Source organism: Homo sapiens, chromosome 16 (assembly GCF_000001405.40).
Source record: "Homo sapiens chromosome 16, GRCh38.p14 Primary Assembly".
Taxonomy (NCBI): Eukaryota; Metazoa; Chordata; class Mammalia; order Primates; family Hominidae; genus Homo; species Homo sapiens.
Genome location: NC_000016.10, coordinates 16,247,125 through 16,268,387, shown reverse-complemented (window position 1 = coordinate 16,268,387; position 21,263 = coordinate 16,247,125). Strand labels below are relative to the sequence as shown.

At 44.6% G+C, this 21,263-nt stretch overlaps 1 protein-coding gene across 2 annotated transcripts in view; it reads right to left on the bottom strand.

Annotated features, from left to right (window-relative positions):
• NOMO3 (NODAL modulator 3) overlaps positions 1-21,263 on the bottom strand; it is a 62,284-nt gene that overhangs the window by 26,424 nt on the left and 14,597 nt on the right. For both annotated transcript variants that reach the window (NM_001004067.4, XM_005255318.2), the window contains exons 6-16: positions 20,921-20,993; positions 17,308-17,460; positions 16,288-16,425; positions 15,866-15,955; positions 12,563-12,668; positions 12,230-12,380; positions 6,712-6,886; positions 5,173-5,314; positions 4,744-4,875; positions 3,209-3,345; positions 1,257-1,344 (exon numbers count right to left, since the gene is read on the bottom strand). In NM_001004067.4, coding sequence (NP_001004067.1) covers positions 1,257-1,344; positions 3,209-3,345; positions 4,744-4,875; positions 5,173-5,314; positions 6,712-6,886; positions 12,230-12,380; positions 12,563-12,668; positions 15,866-15,955; positions 16,288-16,425; positions 17,308-17,460; positions 20,921-20,993 — 1,385 coding nt within the window. The remainder of the gene's footprint in view (positions 1-1,256; positions 1,345-3,208; positions 3,346-4,743; positions 4,876-5,172; positions 5,315-6,711; positions 6,887-12,229; positions 12,381-12,562; positions 12,669-15,865; positions 15,956-16,287; positions 16,426-17,307; positions 17,461-20,920; positions 20,994-21,263) is intronic.

Here is a 21,263-nt window from a genome sequence, read left to right as displayed (position 1 = left end):
GAGGTGAAGAAACCGGAACCCTCGTGCATTGCTGGTGGGAATATCAAATGACACAGCCTCTGTGGAAAACAATTTGACAGTTTCTTAAAAGGTTAAACATAAACTTATCACACAATGCAGCAATTCCATTCCTAGGTATCGAAACAAGAAAAACGAAAACATACGGACACAAAGACTTGTATAAGAATGTCCGTAACATTAGTCATAACAGCGTCAAACTGGAAACCACTCAAATATCCACCAACTGATAAATGGATACACAAAATATGATATAACCACACACCAGAATACTACACAGCAATGTAACAGAACAAACTACTGATATGTGCCATGACACAGATAAACTTCAAAAACATGTTAAATAAAAGAAGCCAAACAAAATACCAGCATCGTATGATAAACGTCCAAAAAAAGCCAATCCATGGGGACAGAAAATAGATCAGTGGCTGGCCATGGCTAGAAACAGGGATTAACTGTCAACGGGCACAGAGGATCTTACATTGTGGGTGATGAACAAATCTAAAACTGGATTCTGGCCATGGTTGTGCAACTTGATAAATTTACTACAAATCATTTTATTGTACATCTTAAATAGGTGAGTTTTATGATATGCAAATTCTGCCTCCAAAAAAAGCCATTATAAAAGAGAGAGAGGGTTGGGTGCAGCAGCTCACACCTGTAATCCCAGCACTTTGGGAGGCTGAGGCGGGCGGATCACTTTAGGTCAGGAGTTTGAGACCAGCCTGGACAATGTGGTGAAACCCATCCCTACTAAAAATACAAAAATTAGCCGGATGTGGTGGTGGGCACCTGTAATCCCAGCTACTCGAGAGGCTGAGGCAGGGGAATCGCCTGAACCCAGGAGGCGGAGGCTGCAGTGAGCCAAGATCGAGCCACTACACTCCAGCCTGGGTGACAGAGCAAGACTCCATCTCAAAAAAAGAAAGAGAAAAAAAAAATGAGAAAGAGCGAGAAGCCACTGAAAGATTTTAAGCAAAGTGGGAAATGATTCAAATTTTAAAACAGCTCTATAAAGAGAGGCCATTGGCCAATGGTATATTTTTGGAGGTGAAAGGGCCCAGTGGTGTCTACCCAACTCAAACCCAAGACAGACAGAAAAACAAGAGCAGGTTGAACACACAGAAATTGAAAGCTTGATGCAAACAGAACCAAGGTAGAAAAAAATGCCTTCAAAACCATCCTCTGGTGCCTTTCCATTTTTCTAATTCATGGCACATCAATCCTTCCAAACTTACCAGGCTTGGACAGGCAGAATCGGTTGACTCCTTTGGAGAGGTTATAAATCCCCACATTCTCACGCCCATTTCCATCCTGATAAAATTCCTAAGGGAGCAAAGCCAATACAATGACTTACTAAGAGAGATGGAGACACCAAGATGATTAATAATATTTCTCTTTCCAAACCAGTCATCTGTTTTGCCCATTAATCATTGGAGCAGTTGGGTGCCACAGGAAAATTAAAAACCTCCCAAAACTTCCAACAAAAGTGTGCTATTTTTCATTCAATCAACTAATATTTATTGAGCACCTGCTATGTGACAGACACAAGGCTGGGCCTTGGGAGTCATGACCATGGCTCCTGCTCTCACAGGGCTTATGTTCTAATACAGGAAGACAAAATCAACGCAACAACAAATAAATTAGTGATCTCAACTGGTCAGTAACGAAGCTGTGAAAATAAACAGGAAAGCAAGAGAAGAACAATCCCCACCGAGGGGTCTTTAGCTCGCTGGTCCCAGGGCACATCTCTCCTGAACAATAGGGCTGCACCTGAATGAGGAGGAAAAACCAACAACACGTGTTTCTGGAGAAGTCACAGCACTCCAGGCAGAGGGGAGAGTATGTGCAAAGGCCCCGAGGAGGGAGTGAGCTTGGTGTGGGACTGCAGAGGACCACTGTGGCTGGGGCCCGGCGAGTGAGGGGACAGTGGGAGGAGATAAAGAAGGGGTTAAGGAAGTGTCAAAAAAAAAAAAAAAAAAGGATCTTATTACAAGAGAGCTGGAAATCCACTCCACTGCTGGAAGGGAAAGGTTTCCTAAATATCTATCACTTATTATGAACCGGATATTAATCGATCTCCTATAACAAATCGACCTGTGGAGTTTTTGTAATTAAGCAGTTAGGGGAGTAAGTTGGCACATGAAACACCAGTTCCAATTCTTCTAGTTTCTCTACAGAGAAACTAAGACCTGACGATGACATCTGCCGCCGCTCGACATCAAAACATTATAGAAAATTCACGAAGGGATCTACAGAGGTGCTCCTGAAACCCATTTCACACTGCCTTTCAGGCCACAGAGACCACAGTCAACAAGAAGCTAAGATCCTGTTTACAGCTTCTTCCCCTGCACTGGAACAAATACACCAGAGAAGGTGGGGCACAATGGCTCACGCCTGTAATCCTAGCACTCTGCGAGGCCAACGCGGGTGGATCCCCTGAGGTCAGGAGTTTTAAGACCAGTCTGGCCAACATGGTGGAACTCTGTCTCTAACAAAAATACAAAAAAAAAAGAAAAAAATTAGCTGGGCATGGCGGCACGCACCTCTAGTCCCAGCTACTCGGGGGGCTGAAGCAGGAGAATCGCTTGAACTCGGGAGGCGGAGGTTTCAGTGAGCCGAGATTGCACCACTGCACTCCAGCCTGGGCAACAGAGCAAGACTCCATCTCAAAAAAAAAAAAAAAAAAAAAAAAAAAATATATATATATATATATATATATATATATATATCAGAGAAACTCACTTGGCAGTACAGAGCGGTGTACACCAAGGACACTTTGATACCTAAGAGGGTTCACTTAAGCCCTGCCATAACCCTGAGAAGTAGGTATTAAGATCTCAATTTTCGGTGAAAACTGAGGCTGAGAAGCAGTAAATGAATTTACCCAAAGCTATTATTACTAATAATATAAAGCCAGTGTGCTCTACACTGTACCAAAGGTCACCCCGAATCACCAGTCAGATTTAGTGTAGGGCCAGGACAAGGAAACCTCCTAAATACAGGGGTCCTTCCACTGAGAGAGTATAAATGCTTCCTGATTATGCGTTGCGTAACAGGTGGGTGAGTGCAGAGGCAGAAAAGGAAATCTGACTTGCCTACGTTTACAATATTCCTGGGATGTTAGTCTTTCTTGACATCCACAAGGCAAGCGCTTTTCCAAATAAGAGACTCCATAAGCCGTACATACCAGAGTGATGGCGTGAGACAGGGAACATCTCAGCATGTAGCCCGTCTGCCTGAACTCAACTGCAGACACGTCATCCTCCAGCACTTCCACCTCCAGGCTCTTGTTCTTCCAGCACCAATCCTCATGCATGATGCTTACTGCAAAAGCAAACACCAAAAACGGATACATGGGCGTGGAGCACACCACCTCCCTGCACGCCACCAGAAACAATGATCATGAATTAACTAATTTTAAAAAGCAGGTGTGTATGTAGACATAAAGATAGAAATATACACATACATATATTTATAACTAGCAGTATTTGGAATAAATTACTGCTAAAGAAAACCTGGAGTCGAGCGTGGTGGCTCATGCCTATAATCCCAGCACTCTGGGAGGCCGACGGCAGTGGATGGCTTGAAGCCAGGAGTTCAAGACCAGTCTGACCAACATAGCAAAACCCCATCTCTACTAAAAATACAAAAGTTATCCAGGCATGGTGGTGCATGCCTGTAATCCCAGCTACTCGGGAAGCTGAGGCAAGAGAATCTCCTGCACCCAGAAGGCGGAGAGGTTGCAGTGAGCCAAGGTCGCGCCACCACACTCCGGCCTGGGTGACAGAGCGAGGCTAAATTTCAAAAAAAAAGAAAGAAAAACTGGAACCAATTTCCATTACATCAAGAAAGAAATCTAATGGGGCCTGTAAGATCAGGCTGCAAGTAAGGTATTCAGGGATCCACAAACTTTTTCTGTAACTCTTTTCAGTTTTGCAGGCCACATGCTTTGTCAGCCTCAACCACTCGACTTGGCCACTGTTACACACGAGCAGCCATAGAGAATCCATAAACAAATGGGCAAGGCTGTATTCTAAGGAAACTACGCTTATAAAAGGCAGTTTTTGTAGTCTGCCAAGCCCTGCCATAACAGAAAATATTAATATAATTCCAGAAAAAGCAGTCTGTTTTATGAGCTATCCACTGCCAGCAGCCCCAAGCTGATTTCTGAAAAAGCAGAAATACAGGCAAGAAGTGGCTTCTTAAGAAGGGCAAGGAAAAGGGAAGTAACATTTGTGGGCACCAGCTACTTAGCTGGCTCTCTGCACAACGGGCTTTATAAACTTTACTTCTTTTAGTCTTATATTCTGCAGAAAGGTTCTATTATGTCTATTTTACAGATGGGAAAACTGAGTTTCAGGGAGGTCAAGTACCTTGCCATGGCCAGTACTCAGCACCAGTACTGCTAAGTTAGTAGAACACATCAGTGGAACTATTTCACACTCCTTTCTCTGGGCTTTAGAAATAAAATGCCATACGTCGGGGCACCCTCCCTTAACAGAAGCCGCCAGTGGGCTGTGCAGACAAGGTGGCGGTCAGCTCAGGGCCTGGACTCCTCCATGCTTGTCCAACGCTAAATAATGCAGTCAAGGTCACGAGGCAAAGACGACTTAAAACAAGGAAAGGTACATGGTCGTGATACAATTTGAGACCTGAGTTTTAGAAAGTTTACAAAGACAAGAAGTGTGTGAGGGCCACAGGATGTTGCATTCCAATTCTTACTTTTGTATTTTCCAGGGAGCACGTTGTCAAAGGTGAAAGTCATGGCGTTGACCTTGCCGGAGAGCTGGAGGCTCCGCTTCTCACCCTGGCGGCTCAGGGACTGTAGAGTCACCAGCAAGTCACCACAGGTGTCTGCAGGGAAAAGAAGGGAGGGCTCCATGTGACCCCTTATAAGGCTTCAGCACAGGTTCGAATCCTAACCCTATGTAATAGCTTCTTGCTACTGCTGAGCTCCTAAGAGGCAGTGGCCGGAGGCAGACGGAGCGCTTCTTTCAAGTTAACATGTACCCACCTGACTCCAAGAAGCCTCCCTCGCACGCAGGTGATCAGTAGCAAACAACAAAGGCAAAACAAAAAGTTTCCCAAATCCCACTCCTACCGGCTGACTTCTTTGAAACTATGTGTTCTTACTTTCCAGTGATATCTTACCCAAACAAGAGACTTTCCCAGAAACTGATGCCAAGAACTGTACAAAGGCCACATCCATCACAGGCCTGTCGGTCACAGTAAGAGGAAATGTCTGGGGTTTCAACGTCAGCCCTGCTCTGGTTTCTGCCTCAGGAACCATCACCTGCGGAAACGTGGATGGAACGTTAGAGGCTGCATTCGGGGAGATCTTCCCCCTGACCTACAGGGCGCTAGAACATTCATCTGGGACCAAGGCTAAAGAGATTTTGAAGGCCAAAGGTTCGTTTCCAGGCTGATTTTACAATCACAACAAATCCACGAATAACTTGTGTGAAGTAAGCACGGTTCTACCCAGATGAAAAATTAGCCTCAACAGACCGATGTGTATGAACAAAAGTCTATCTGGCCTAATTCCCCACAGGCCCGCAACGCGGACACGCCTCACTTACATACTAGAAACCATACTACATCCCAGTCACTTTTCCCGGCTTCGGATCACTTGTAGCATAAGCTCTGAACCTGTCAACACTATGTGGATGACACTTTGGTGGAATTAAGTCATTTTCTTCCTCCTATTGTTGTGCGTGCCTTTCATGGGCTAAGAAGAGGAACAGGTGAAGGTAGCAGCGGTCAACTCTTTCATCCCTAGTAAAGACGACACTGCCCTTCCTTGGAGAAGTCCATCATGCTTCCGAAAGGGCTTCCAAAGACTTGTCAATGTGGACATCTTCGCAAGAAGCCAGCTACCATCTAATAAAGTCAGCTGTCAACCCACACACCACGCTGTTCTGTGGAAGCAGGGAGAACGCAATCTCCTACCCTGTTTCCCACAGAGGGAGGGACCCCACTTTGCCCTAGAGGACAGCAGAGTCTAACAGGGAACCTTCTCGGCCCTCTCCCTTTGTGTTATTTGCTCTTCCACAGGGAGGAAGGGCAGCTGCTGATTTGATGGGTGACAGCCCACGGAAACAGTCTCTCCCCAAGGGCAGGGCCACTGCACTGAAAGGCATGGTGGGCTGACCTCTGCTCTGTCCTGTCTCTTGCTTGCTTGGGCCAGCTGTGGCTTGGGCCTTCACCATGGTGATGAGACCACAGGCCAGACCGTCTCCCCGTTCTCGGCCTGCTTGAATGGATAAGTCGCGTGGTCCCTGCCTAGCCATCTTGAAGTCAAGGCAAAGCAGGAAATGGGAAGCTCCATTTTGGCCTGGGGTCCCAGAAGCCACGCACTATGGCCATTTTTGAGCGGCCATTAGTAGAGTTCATTTTTGGTGTCCTCTTGGACTCATCGACATTCTACAGCAGCCAGAAGCCTGAAGGTAGAGGAGTGACTGGCAGCCTGATACTAATAAACATCAAGACTGGAAAAAAGAGAGGCAGATGGCATTATTTTTTAGCTGGATGCCTATCTGACTCTCCTCTACTGGTGCAGGATTGTAAAGACTTAAAAACAAGAAGTTGGAAACTGGAATGCTCCTTCTCTAACCCCATTCGACCTAATAACCCTTCTAAAAATCACTGCTTTTTCTCAAAACATTTTAAATTTAAAACAATGCATCGCACCTGCACTTTGTAAGTCCCTGGGTTTGCTTTAAAACAAAATGATCCATGAGCATCTGTCTCCACGGTGACCAAAGACTTGTCCTTGTCTTGAGATGACAGGACAACTTTGTATTTATTCATCTGCTTGACGGTGTCGGGGAAGCGAATGATTGATATCTGACCACAGACACTGAACCTGCAAAGAGAAGACCATTCATTCCAGCACGAGGACTCAATTATAACAGGAAAGGCTCTTATCGACCAAAAAAGATGCAGCCCTCTCCCAGCCCTTGTTCCTGAGAATAGTCTAATCTTAATGAAGAGACAGAATGCAATCCAGATGATTCTGGTTTTAAAAAGCAACCTTCATTCTGGTTTTAAAAAGCAACCTTCAGAAGCAAGACTGGGCATCTTTCTACAGAACAGGGGCCCGTAGTGGGGCTGTTTGTGTGTTCCGGGTGACATCTGGCAATCCCCCACTGCAGAGGCAATTTTAAGAAAATCTGCAGATAATAAAAACGTTTCAGGTAATTGGATCGTTGACAGCAGAGCGGCCTTGGACTGAGAATGTGGGCTAGCCCTTAAAAGCAAGAGCTCTAAGCTGCCTAAGAAACTGTGGCATTACCAGGCCATCAAATAAGTCAGGATTATCAAAGACGTCTTCCTTGCTTGTGATTATATATAATACATGGATGAAAGCAAACTGGGAGATTGGAACAGAAAAGGTAATTAAGTTAAAAAATGCAAAGCTAAAATTGAACTCCTTGGGAGGTAGGAGCCACAATGTAACTTATAACTGAAAAGCCCTATTAAGGTAATGATTCAGATTTGAGATTCTAAATAAGGAGTAAGGTGTTGCAAGGCATCCCTCGAATAACACACGAGAGGCCCCCCTACAACGACCATCATCCTTGGAGTGCTGGTCTTCATTTCTGAAGCAGCTGGTGTATTAAAGTGTAATAGTACATCCTAGCTGGGGGTCACAGTTGTCTTTTCAACTGTTCATTTTAAAGAATCTTCAAGAATCATTTTAGATAAAAATTAGTTACTTCTGACATAAAGATAATCAAGAATGTTGGATTCTGACAATTAGGGGTACATTAAATGTTGGAACCACCACTCCGCCTCAAATAAAAAAACAGTGGAAAACACAAGGAAATGGTGGAAGATTGTGTATGTGAAATCTAGGAATTATGAAAAACACAGCCATTTCTTCAGAGTGAAGGGACTGCCCAGCCATATGAGCTCACTATCTCCAGCATGGGTCAGCAAACTACCACCCAAGGACCCCCCTCCCGTTTGTGTATGAACTGCAAGCCGAGAAAAAGAATTTTACACTCTTAAGTGGTTAAAGTTAAAAAAAAAAATCAAAAGAAAGATAATATTTCACATGTAAAAATTACATGAAATGCAAACTGTGGTGTCCAAAAATGTAGTTGTGTTGCGCTCTGCCCATTCATTTACAAATGTCTATCTCAGCTGTTGTCCTAGAGACCGTATGGCTCACGCAGCCTAAAATAGTTATTCTCTGGCTCTCCACAGAGAAAGTGTCCCAGTCCCTGACCTAGCATATGCATTTTGGTTCTCACATTCCCCTACTGTGAACTTTCAGAATAAAAGGATGGGAAGCGAACACTGACACAATCATTCCCAAGGACCTGTCATATTCTCTTGATTTGTGTACCTGTCAGAGGACACATCACCTTGTCTATTTCCTATCAAATCTCTTTGCCTCCTTAAGTTGTAAATATTTGAACCATAAGATCTGTTTTAGCCCACATTCTTATTAAAAAGAAGTGCCTATTTTCCCTAAACCTCAAATCTATACTGGCTTAGTTTGGAAAAATAAACCAAAAGGGTGGTAGAAAAAGGTTCCGTTATACTGAAGCCCTTAAAAATTGATTTGTATCAATAAATTCTTTCAACAGGGTTTAAATACATATATGGACAGAAACAGGTAATATTGGTGGATATTGAGAGAAATCTATTTTCACAGTCATTTGGACAGAAGCCAAAGAGTTTGTTTTTACAATAAATTGAGTAATTTTTTTATTTTACTTTAAAGGAAGACTAGGCACCATGGCTCAGCCTGTAATCCCAGCACTTTGGGAAGCCGAGGCGGGTGGGTCACTTGAGGTCAGGAGTTCGAGACCAGCCTAGCCAACACGGCAAAACCACATCTCTACTAAAAAATATAAAAATTAGCCTGTAATCCCAGCTACTCAGGAGGCTGGGGCAGGAGAATCACTTGAACCCGAGAGGCGGAGGCTGCAGTGAGCCGAGATGGCGCCACCGTACTCCAGCCTGGGCAACGGAGTAAGACCCTGGCTCAACAAAAAATAAAAAGGAAAAGAAATAGTAAGAAGTATCAGTGTGCTAAAAAGGCAAATGTACTACATCGGCCAATTAAAAAAAAGAGATTTTTCCAAAAATGTTCAACAAATGCTATTTTTCTTTCTTTGACCCAAATACTCTACTTTAAAGGAGAAAATAAATATATTTCCTCCATCTCCGTGAACAGCACCGCCTCCATCTACCCAGTGGCTCAAATAAGAAACCTGTAACCTCAACAGCACAGGCCTGTGGGTGTGTTCTCCATGTGACCTACCAAATCCATCTACTCCTCGCTCCCTCGCCTGCCAGCCGCCTGGGCCCAGCCACTACCATATCTCCTCCAGACAACCATGACTGCCTCATATCTGGCCCCTCCATTCACACCATGGCTTTCCTCCAATCCATTCTCCACACAGCAGCCAGGAAGAAAAACAAACTTTTTAAAGTACCATGATCCCTATCACTCCCTTGCCAACTGATAACTCTTTTTTTTTTTTTTGAGACGGAATCTCACCCTGTCGCCCAGGCTGGAGTGCAATGGTGCAATCTCAGCTCACTGCAACCCCTGCCTCTCGGGTTCAAGCGATTCTCCTGCCTCAGCCTCCTGAGTTGCTGGGATTATAGGCGCGCATCACCATGCCCCGCCAACCTTTTGTATCTTTAGTACAGACCGGGTTTCACCATGCTGGCCAGGCTGCGCTTGAACTCCTGACCTCATGATCCGCCCACCTCAGCCTCCCAAAGTGCTGAGATCATAGGCGTGAGCCACCGTGCCCGGCCAACCAACAGACAACTCCTAACGGGTTTCCACTGCATTAGGGAGCAAAGCCCAATCCCAAAGCAAGGCTACAAGGCCCCAGAGCTCCCTGACCTCACCCACCTCCTCCAGCTGCGCAGACTGCCTTTCAGGTCCTTCCTATCCTATGCAGGCCTCTGAGCATGCTGCTTCTCTACTAGGGAAGATCTTTCTTTAGCTAACTTTTAGTCTTTACTAAGGTCTCTGCAACCCAGAGAGCCTTGCAGAGCTCCCACTCTAAATTAGCTCTTCTTGCAGCACCCTGATCTCTTCCCTGCACAACATTTGCCATAATTTAGCAGCATAAATGTATTTGTCTTTTTTGTCTTTTTTAAAAATCTTGTTATTTTTTAATTTTTATCTCTTTATTTATTTTTAGACCAGGTTATGAAACTAGCTAATTTTTGCATTTTTGGTAGAGATGGTGTTTTGCCAAGTTGCCCAGGCTGGTCTCAAACTCCTGGGCTCAAGCGATCCGCCCACCTCTGCCTCCCAAAGTGCTGGGATGGATTACAGGTGTGAGGCATTAAGCCTGGCCACAGATGTATTTGTCTTCAGTCTGTCTCCCTGGTAGGGTGAAAGCCCCATCTCTGGAACACTAGTTTGATTAATTATTAGGTATGAAGCATTTTTCAGTGCCTCATCTAGAGTAATTGCACAAAGTGTTTATGGAAGGTGGGAAAGACTTAAATCCAAGAATTACTTTCTGAGGGTAATTTGCTTCCCTGTCTTCCATTCACCACTGGACTCCTTGACCTTGACCTCCATCTGTCTACAGAAAAGAGTCACTGTGGCCTCCTCAGTGATCAAGCCAGGGGACTGTGTTCACCAGGGCCCAGCTCCCTGCACCTCCCTGTTGGGCCCTACCTCCTACCCCAAACTTACTTTCTTAGCTCCTATGACCTCAGGCTCCCTAGGTCCCCCCCTGGGCCACCTGGCACTCTGTTTTTGGCCTACTGTTCTTCTAATTCTACTTGCACATACATATTTGAGGTCCTGGCTGCCACCTGCGGCCAAATCTTCAGGATTTACCATCCATCCAAGTACCTATTGAAGAGCTCCACCTAGTGGTCCTACAGACCAATGTGGCCAAATCTGAAACCTCATCACCTAACTGGCTTCTCTTTCTGTCCCCAGCCATCACACCTCTCAAGCTGGGCACCCTAAATATCTCACCAGTCTGTCCCTGACTTCCCTACAAGGCAAGCCCTTGTCGTCTCTGCTTTCAGACCTCCTGTGCCCAAGTCCTGTCCCCTTCAAAGCCACTCTACTCCATGCCATTGTTTTCAGAATGCCCTATTGAAAACAATGATCAAAGCTTGTTATATTAATGCTCAAAACCACTCATGGCCCGTTGGCCCCAGTGGGAGAAAGCCCCTACGCCCTGGTGGGGTGTGAGGAGGTGCTATGGGGTTGGCCTCATCATCACCTTCACCTGCCAGTATATTCTGCTCCAGTAGCACCCAGCTTTACACCCGCAGCCACCTCATGCTGCTGTGAGACTGCCTGACTTTGCTCATGCCGCGCTTCTCCCAAGCAGACCCTGCAGTCTCCTTCTAAGCTACTGTTTTGTGAGCACCTGTTATGTCTAAAGCTGTTCTGCAGGTTACATACAGGTGGATCTGGGATCTGACTCCAAAGCCCAAGTTCTTGGCACTACACAATCTTGCTTCAGATGATGGTAAAACCACATGAATTCAACCACAAGATGTCCCTGCCTGTACTTATAGTATAATGAGTAACTACAAGCAGGAAGAACTACACCAATGACCTGAAGCATCTTCCAATAAGCTTTCTCAACCAACAATACCATCTTCCAAAAATCCTCAAAGATTAAGCAAAGAGGGGTCCTGTGAAAGATCGTGAAAGTCAGACATGAAAGATTTTTTAATTTCACAAGCCCATTTTAATTTGAAGCAAGGGACTTTTCATTAAGCATCCGACATGTCAGTACCTTCAGTTTGTAAGATTTAGAACTAATCTTTCTTGGCCGGGTGCAGTGTCTCACACCTATAATCCCAGCACTTTGGGAGGCCAAAGCAGGCAGACAGCCTGAGGTTAGGAGTTTTGAGACTAGCCTGGACAACATATAGTGAAACCCTGTCTCTACTAAAAAATACAAAAATTAGCTGGGTGTGGTGGGGCACGCCTGTAGTCCCAGCTACTTGGGAAGCTGAGGCAGGAGAATCACTTGAACCTGGGAGGCAGAGGTTGCAGTGAGTCGAGATGGCACCACTGCACTACAGCCTGGGCAACAGGGCAAGACTCTGTCTCTCAAAAAAAAAAAAAAAGTACTAATCTTTCTTAAGTTCTTAAGCTCGGCAAAGACACACAGATCACAGGTCATTTGGTTCTACACTGGCTGCCAGCATATTTACTGGTGCTTCCAAATCCACACGATAAGCTTACCCTGTTGCAACAATGTCAGCCAGCTGAGGTGTGTTTGGTGCAATTTTGATGGTGACCGTTTCAAAGTAGAGGTGCTCTTTCTGAGCATGGATGGTGTATGTCCCTGTGGTTATGTTCTCAAGGCGGAATGAGCCATCAGCTTTTGTTTTAACTGTAAAACAAAAACACACAAACAGAAGATAAGCCAAAAACAACAGTGTATCCTTACATGTACACCAGAATACTTGGACCAAAAGCTGCCATGTTCTCATATAGTCATCAGTTCCTCTCCATTTCTCTCTGTGATCCAAAAAGAGCGCTGGCCATCAGCCTGGGGCTGCTGTGTCAGCCCACCTTTGATTTGGTTATTCAGGGTGACTACTGCTTCTGGAACACCATCTCCTTCGGGTCCGTTCAAGACCCTCCCGGTGACGGAGAATCCCATGACGTGGAACACGGGCTAGAAAACAAAGAACAAGAAGGTGCTCGAAGGTGCTCCTGTGCCAGAGCCACAAAGCCTCCTTCTGCTGCGCCGGCCACCACCTACCATGTCTGCTCCTGCCGCCCACCTCCCAACACTCAGTGCCCCGGTCCTGTGTGCCAGCCGGGCTCCCTCTCACTTTACCCACATCTGTCTTCTCTGTTGTGTTCCCAACACACTGCTGAGTGTCAAACAACAGAAAAGAAAAGTCTAGAGACTTACTTCCCTCGTTAAAAGGTCACTGACTCAAGCTTCTAGAAGCCCCCCACCCTTACCCCTGTGCCATCTCCTCCCCTCCAGATGCCCCCATTTTGGTGAACCACGTCTTCCTCCAGTCTCCCATGCACACCCCGGCATCACTTTGGATGACCCGCCCCGCTCCTCCAGCATCGATCAGTCCTGTGGATTCCACCTCTGCAAGGTCTCACGTGTCCCCTCCTGTCTTTCCACCACGACCTGAACACAGGTCCTTATGAAATCCACCTAGGCCAGGCGCAGTGGTTCACGCCTGTAATCCCAGCACTTTGGGAGGCCGAGGCAGGCAGATCACTTGAGGTCAGCAGTCCAAGACCAGCCTGGCCAACATGGTGAAGCCCTGTCTCCACTAAAAATACAAAAATTAGCCAGGTGTGGTGGCGGGCGCCTGTAATCCCAGCTACTCGGGAGGCTGAGGCAGGAGAATCACTTCAACTCGGGATGCAGAGGTTGCAGTGAGCCAAGATAGTGCCAGCCTGTGTGAAGCAGCAAGACTCTGTCTCAAAGAAAAAAAAAGAAATCCACCTAGACCACCCTCCTCCACCACCATCACTGGCTCACACGTGGTCCCGTGCTCCATGTGTCTGTGTCTGTGTCTGTGCCCCACTCGCCTGTGAGCAGCACAGCTGTGCTTTCTCTGCAGTTACTGAGTTCCAGCCCTGATCTGTGTATCCCCAAGGTCACCACTGCTAACCTATTTTAATATCTTCATCAAACTTACCAGTATCTGAAATGTCCTCGTTCGATTTCTTAGTTGTCTCCCTCCCACTAGCATGTTACCTCATGGAGACAGGGACTTTTTCTGTCTTAGTCACCTGGTACACAGCAGGCACTCAATAACTGACTCCTGAATGAATGAATGTGTGCACGCACGTGTGCAACAGCATTTGAGATGAAGCTTTAAATAATTAAATGACTTCCTTTTTATGCAGGGAGCCCTTCTTTTTTATTTTTTTATTTTTTTTTTCAGCAAATGGTTTCTTAGTGATGGTCTCACATGACAGGTAGTCCTTATTGATCTTTCCAAAAAGACATGTTTCATTCCATGCATTACCTACTTATTAATTCACATATGTACGCAACAAATATTTTTGCTGGGCACCTACTATGTGCCAGGCACTAAATCACATGTTAGGAAAACAGTAAAGAATAAGACACAGTACCTGACCTCAGGGAACTTACAGGGCCCCATTCCCTGAAATTCCATTCATCATTTTCAAAATATGTATTTGGCTGTAATCTGGGAATAGCTGTCTCTGCTCACCTGCCCCCATCCTTCTCTGCAAGCTACGAGAAGCAAAGTAAAGGCTTCATCTTCTTACCCTTCTCTTTCCCCTCCAGTGTACAGCAGAACGGTCAAACACTCCACTGAATCTTAAAATGCAGAGTCTGCACCCCACTGTGCATATGACCTAAAAGTCCGCTTCTGCCAGTTTAAGCGATTTTAACACAGTACTTTCAAATGTAATTATTAAAAGAAAATGATTAAAATATAATTGCTTCGATAACTCTAACATTGGGTGGTCCACTTAGGAGAGGCTGTTATTTTCTTTTGGGATTTGTTCTAGCTAGCCAATTTTCTACAGTAACCATTTTCTACTTCTGTAATTAAAGGAGACGTAAGTGAGATGAAAAATACATTTACCATTTATGTGAGGGTCTAGGCAGTTTATCAAGCCATGTATCACACTGCCCATTCCTACCATCACGGTCCAAGCTCTGCCAGTTCTCACCTGGTTTACGGCCATGGCATCCCAACTGGTCTCCCACTTCCACCCTGACACCCTGCAAACTCTCCTCAATGCAGCTGCCAGAAGGATCACGCCACTCCTCTGCTAGGAACCTTCCAGTGGCACCAATTCTCACCCAGAGTTATAGGCAAAGTAGCCCACCAAGCCCTGCACAATCTGCCCTGTCACCTCCCTGACCCTCTTTCCGCCTCCTCCTTCCTTGCTCATTCCCTCCACTCCAGCCACCCTGGCCTCCTTGGGATGCCCCAAACCCTTCAGCACACTCCTGCCTCAGGACCTTTGCACGTGCCGTTCCCTCAGTCTTACACACTCTTCCTGCAGGAGTGAAGTATGGTTCTCTTGTTCTTTCCCTTCAGGTTGTTGCTCAAATGTCACCTTCACAGGGAGGACTTCCCAAAAACACCCTATGTACAACTGCAACCCCTGTCTCCACCCTGATACTGTACTACCTCCTTTCTTCCTTTATTTTTCTAGAGAACACTTATCACCTTCTACTGTACTTTCTAACTTATACATCTATACATGTATTGACCCTTCCTGTCATTAGAACATGAGGTCTAGCCAGGTGCGATGGCTCACACCTGTAATCCCAACACTTTGGGAAGCCGAGGCAGGCAGATCACTTGAACCCAGGAGTTAGAGAACAGCCTGGGCAACATGGTGAAACCCCATCTCTAACAAAAATACAAAAATTAGCTGGGCATGGTGGCACGTGCCTGTGGTCCCAGCTACTCAACAGGCTGAGGTGGGAGGATCACTTGAACCCTGGAGGCAATGGCTGCAGTGAGATGAGATCGTACCACTGCACTCCAGCTTGAGCCACACAGTGAGACCCTGTCTTAAAAAAAAAAAAAAAAAAAAAAATGAGGTCCACAGGGACAAGAATTTTTGCCTCTTTTGGTCACTGCTATATCCCCAGTCCTGGAATGGTGCCTGAAATGCATGTCACTGGCAATCAATAAATATATTTCATTGAATGAGTAGATTTAACTAGGAATCCAGCTCTCTACGATAAGGACATCATGGGTAAGAATATAATACCAGATGGCATTTTTTCCAACAGCCCTTCCAGATAAAATAATTGATTTTTTTTTAAAACATGTTTGCAATACCTGTGCCTAGGGATGGGAACTCAAACACCTGTCCCTCCAGAAGACAGAAAAGCCTTACCTCGATTTTCAAGCTGTCATGCTCCACTGTGAAGTCAAGTCTGGAAGGCGCCACATCAAAGGTAATCCTCTCCCCTCGATAGAACGGAATCTGGAAGGAAGAGTCTCTTAATCACTAAGAACCACTAACATGATCAATCAGCAATATTAATAATCGATCTAGCAGCCCACAAATGACAAGGGGTTCAGACAGACCAAGAGAAACATTCATCATAACTGTTGCAGATTTGAAAAGAGGAAGCCTTGCCCTTTTTGTAGCTATTACGAAGGGGTGAGTGTCTCATCTTAAGTAAGTTACTGCTTAACAGCATGTTCAGAGAACTGCAGGCCAACCATCTTTTCCTTTAACACCCAAACAGCATTGGCTTTTACTGTGTCATGAGAGTCCCAGACATAAACAGAACGGAAATCTGCTTCACTCACCACAGTGTAGCCCCCACTTGGCAAGGAATAGAAAGAGAACGAGCCATCTTCTCTGGAGACCGTGTAGCACAAATACACCAGACTCTCGTCTTGGGGCTGGAACCCAGGCACTGGTGAGACATTGCAGCCCAGGACATCCTATGCCAGGGGGTAAAAAAGACAAGACTTCCTTTTCCATTTACATGTTCTGAATACCATCAATTAGCCACATTATAGGAAAATTTTTTTAAGTTTCATGTCAATATATGTATTTCTGAAATCTAAGAAACATTAATACAGATAAAAGGAACAAAAATCTTGACATTCAAGTTGCAAAGTTAAAAACTGGCACAGTCTTCCCGGGAAAGATGACATGACTGTCCTTCCTTATCATGGGTCACCATTCTCCAAATAAGGAAACGGAAGCTCAGGAAGGTAATGTGACCGGCCCAGGGTCGCATAGCTAGGAAGAGGAATTTGTTTAAATCTGAGATTTGTTTAAACCCAGGTCTGATTTCAAAGCCTGTGTACTTTCCATCACATACCACTGCCTCCCAGTGTAGATGTGCAATGTCTTGTGAGTCAACAGAGACACATGATATTCTTGAATTTTTTTTTTTTTTTTGAGAGTCTCACTCTGTCACCCAGGCTGGAGTGCAGTGGCGTGATCTTGGCTCACTGCAACCTCCACCTCCTGGGTTCAAGCGATTCTACTGCCTCAGCCTCCCACGCAGCTGGGACTACAGGCACGTGCCAACATGCCCGGCTAATGTTTTTGTATTTTTAGTAGAGATGGGGTTTCATAATGTTGGCCAGGCTGGTCTAAAACTCCTGACCTCAAGTGATCCACCCACCTTGGCCTCCCAAAGTGCTGGGATTACAGGCATGAGCTACCACACCCGGCCTGAGACAGACGATATTCTTAAGTGTTAAAATGATAAATCAACTCAGACCTGCATTTTTTAAAACAGTACGTTCTGGTCTATAATCCCCCACCCTCCTACCCTTCACACCATCTCTTTTGTTCTTTTCTTTGCTTACCTCTTTAGTTACTAAAGAAGAAAAGAGAAGAAACTTCACGCCTTTCATGGGCTCCCCATCACTTCGGACAGAGCCAGACACATTGTAGCCAGCAACTATGAGGGGACTGGCCGCATTGGCATTGGAGTTGGTTACACGCACTGTGGTGCTTGCCTGTAACAGAAAAAGATTTTAACCTGTAAAAAAATAAACACTTGCAAAGTGCCTAACAACATGAGGACACGCTGAAGCTAAAATATTAACTGGGAAACGTAATCTATAAAATTGCTTATTCAGTATGATCACTTCTTTTCTTGAGACGGAGTCTCAGTATGTCACACAGGCTTGAGTGCAATGGTGCAACCTCGGCTCACTGCAACCTCTGCCTCCTGGGTTCAAGAGATTCTCCTGCCTCAGCCTCCCAAGTAGCGGGGATTACAAGCGCTCGCCACCACGCCCGGCTAATTTTTGTATTTTTAGTAGAGACAGGGTTTCACCGTGTTGGCCAGGCTGGTCTCGAACTCCTGACCTCAGGTGATCCGCCCGCCTCAGCCTCCCAAAGTGCTGGGATTACAGGTGTGAGCCACCGTGCCTGGCTTATCATTATTTTTTAATGCCCAAAATGAAGTGAAAGGAAATGTGGCAAAATGTAAACAATAATGATTTTGTCTATATGGTGCTATTTTACTTGTATACTTTTCCAGCTTCCAAAATTTGTTTCCACTGCTTTATATTCCTCTATATGTTCCAATTTTTTTAATGAGCATATTTTGCCTTTTTTTCTATTTTTAATGATATATAGTGTTAACTGAAGATTAGCCTAAAGCTGCCTCCTTACATATTTTAAGTTTGGCCTAAAGGTTTCTCTTACGTGTTGCCAAGTCTCACCCAATTCAAGCAGCCACCCTTCAACTACTCACAGGCAGCCAACTGTTCAAACCATGTGCAAATAAGACAAACGTCCAGCTGTAACCAATCCAACTGTTTCTGTACCTCACTTCCACTTTCTGTCCGTCACTTTCTTTTTCTGTCCATAAACCCTTTCCAATCACGCAACAGTGCCACAGTCGCTGTAAACCTATTCTGGCTCAGGGAGCTGCCCAATTGACAAATTGTTCTATGCTCAATTAAACTCTGTTTAATTTGCCTTAAGTTGTTCTTTTCACAATATGTGTATATTTTTAAACATTTTTGTTAAGGTACAATAAACACAGAGAAAAGTGTACAGATTCTAAGCACGCAGCACAGGGCTTGTCACAAATTGGGCACTGATTACCCAACAGAATAGCACCAGCAAGCCAGAAGTGCCCTCACACTTGCTTCCGGTCACTAACACCCCAGGAAGATAAACATTATCCTGACTTCTAACAACATGCTTTACTTGAAAATCCCAATCTCATATTAATAAACTCAGATTCTTCTATGCAGACAATTAACATACAATGTAAACCTTAAAATCTCTTCTATTTATAAATGTGTAAGCTCTTTCATTTCGAATAAATTTTTTTTTTTTTTTTTTTGAGATGGAGTCTCACTCTGTCACCCAAGCTGAAGTGCAGTGGTGCAATCTTGGCTCACTGCTACCTCCACCTCCCAGGTTCAAGCGATTCTCCTGCCTCAGCCTCCCGAGTAGCTGGGATTACAGGTGTATGCCACCATTCCTGGCTAATTTTTTTCTATTTTTAGTAGAGATGCGGTTTCACCATGTTGGCCAGGTTGGTCTCGAACTCCTGACCTCAAGTGATCCACCCACCTCAGCCTCCCAAAATGCTGGAATTACAGCATGAGCAACTGCGCCCAGCCTCGAATAAAATATTTTTAAATGTTGCTGCAGAAGAGAAAAACCCCCAAAACCAAAAGTCACAAACAGTAAGAAGAGACATCTAGGTGTGAAACTATCATCAATTATAAGTGCGTAAAACCTACAGAGTAAAAATAATAATAAAACAGATAGAGTAGAAGCTGAAATACTGATTCCAATGCTTCTTTAGCAAAAATGAGATACAGCTTCAATACTAACACAGAAGCTAACATGTCAAGATGTCCCTTAAGTCTTATTTCAATTTGGTCTTTCACGGCTATTACAGAACCTCACCTACTAGGTGGAGTTCCTTTTTTGATCTTTGACTATAAACTATTTCAGTCAAACAAAAAAAGATATGCTAAAGAACACTTACATACCTTCTAACCAGCTAAAGAAATTTAAAAAAATACAATTCAAGATGCTGGCGTACCCCGAAGTCCCCCTCCTCCCTCTTTCTCTAGAAGTCAGTATCATTTTGAACAGCGTCTGCTATTCCCATACATGTCTTTATAATTTTTCTACATAAGACTGTATCCTCCCTGTCCCTACTAAAAATACAAAAATTAACTGGGCATGGTGGCAGGCACCTGTAACCCCAGCTACTCAGGAGGCTGAGGCAGGAGAATCGCTTGAACCCAAGAGGCGGAGGTTGCAATGAGCCGAGATCGCCCCATTGCACTCCAGCCTGGGCAACAAGAGCAAGACTTCATCTCAAAAAAAAAAGACTGTATCCTTAGCTAGGGGCAGTGGCACATGCCTGCAGTTCCAGATCCTTGGGAGGCCAAGGTGAAGGATCGCTTAAGGCCAGGAACCAGAGGCTGCAATGAGCCATGAATATGTCACTGTACTCTAGCCTGGGCAACAGAGCAAGACCCTGTTGCAAAAAAAAAAAAAAAAAAAAAGACTGTATCTGGCCGAGTGCACTGGTTTATACCTGTAATCCCACCACTTTGAGAGCCCGAGGCTGGTGGATCATTTGAGGCTAGGAGTTCGAGACCAGCCTGGCCAACATGGCAAAATCCCATATATACTAAAAATACAAAAATTAGCTGGGCGTGGTGGCACATCCCTGTAATTCAGCTGCTCAGGAGACTGAAGCCGGAGACTCGCTTGGACACAGAAGGCCGAGGTTGCAATAAGCCAAAATCATGCCACTGCACTCCAGTCTTGGCAACAGAGCGAGACTCCGTCTTTAAAAAAAAAAAAAAAAAAAAAAGACTGTATCCATAAATGATTATCACAAGTATTTAAAATCATATTTCCTTCAACTCTGTTTTTAAATGTAGTTACATTGATATATGTAGCTCTGGTTCATTCATTACTGCTGACATACAGCAGCCTATTGTATGATGGAACCCCAATCCATTCTTCTCTTAAAAGGCATTTAGGTTGTTTACAATATTTTGCTATTACAAACAAAGCTGCAATAAACATTCTCATACATTCTCCTTGGTCACGCGTACCACAGTTTCTAGAATGTTTAGTATATTTACAGATTTCTGTTTCAGGCTGAAAAAAGAACAACAAATAAATCTCGTCAGGGCCTTCTGTTGTTGATTTAGTTTAAAATAGCTATAGTTAATAAAACAGATCTATTTCACAGCAGGAAGACAACACTGTCACCTAAAACTGAAACTAACACAAGCAACATCTGCTACAGTGAGGAGTTACACCTTATAAATAACTACCAAACTAAACAACAGCACCATTGGTTCTTCATCTAGTCCTGGAGGAACCATAAATTCTTTTCATATCCTAAATTGAAAAGCCCTACATTTGTCCCAAGACCAGCATATTATTGGCATGGCTATAGACGTAGCTGTCACTCACCTCTTTCAACGCCCAGGTTGGATGAGTTGCGAGGATTTCATAATCTCCAGGCAGAACTTTAAAAAATGCAAACCTAAGACATAAAAAATAACCATTTAACTTTCTCCAAACAACCCAAGTATTTCTAATTCTATGACTAATGTTGGCAGCACAAGAAAACAATGTTGGAATTATCGCAAACTTCCATTAGCTTGTTAAATGAGCATGAATGAAATTCAATCCTTCACTGTACAAATCTGCATAAAAGAGCGCTTATTGAGCACTTACTGTGTGCCAAGAGGGGTGCTCCATGTGCTGATCGGAAAGAGGAGTGCTTACGTCTCCCTTAATCTCAAGGATTTCT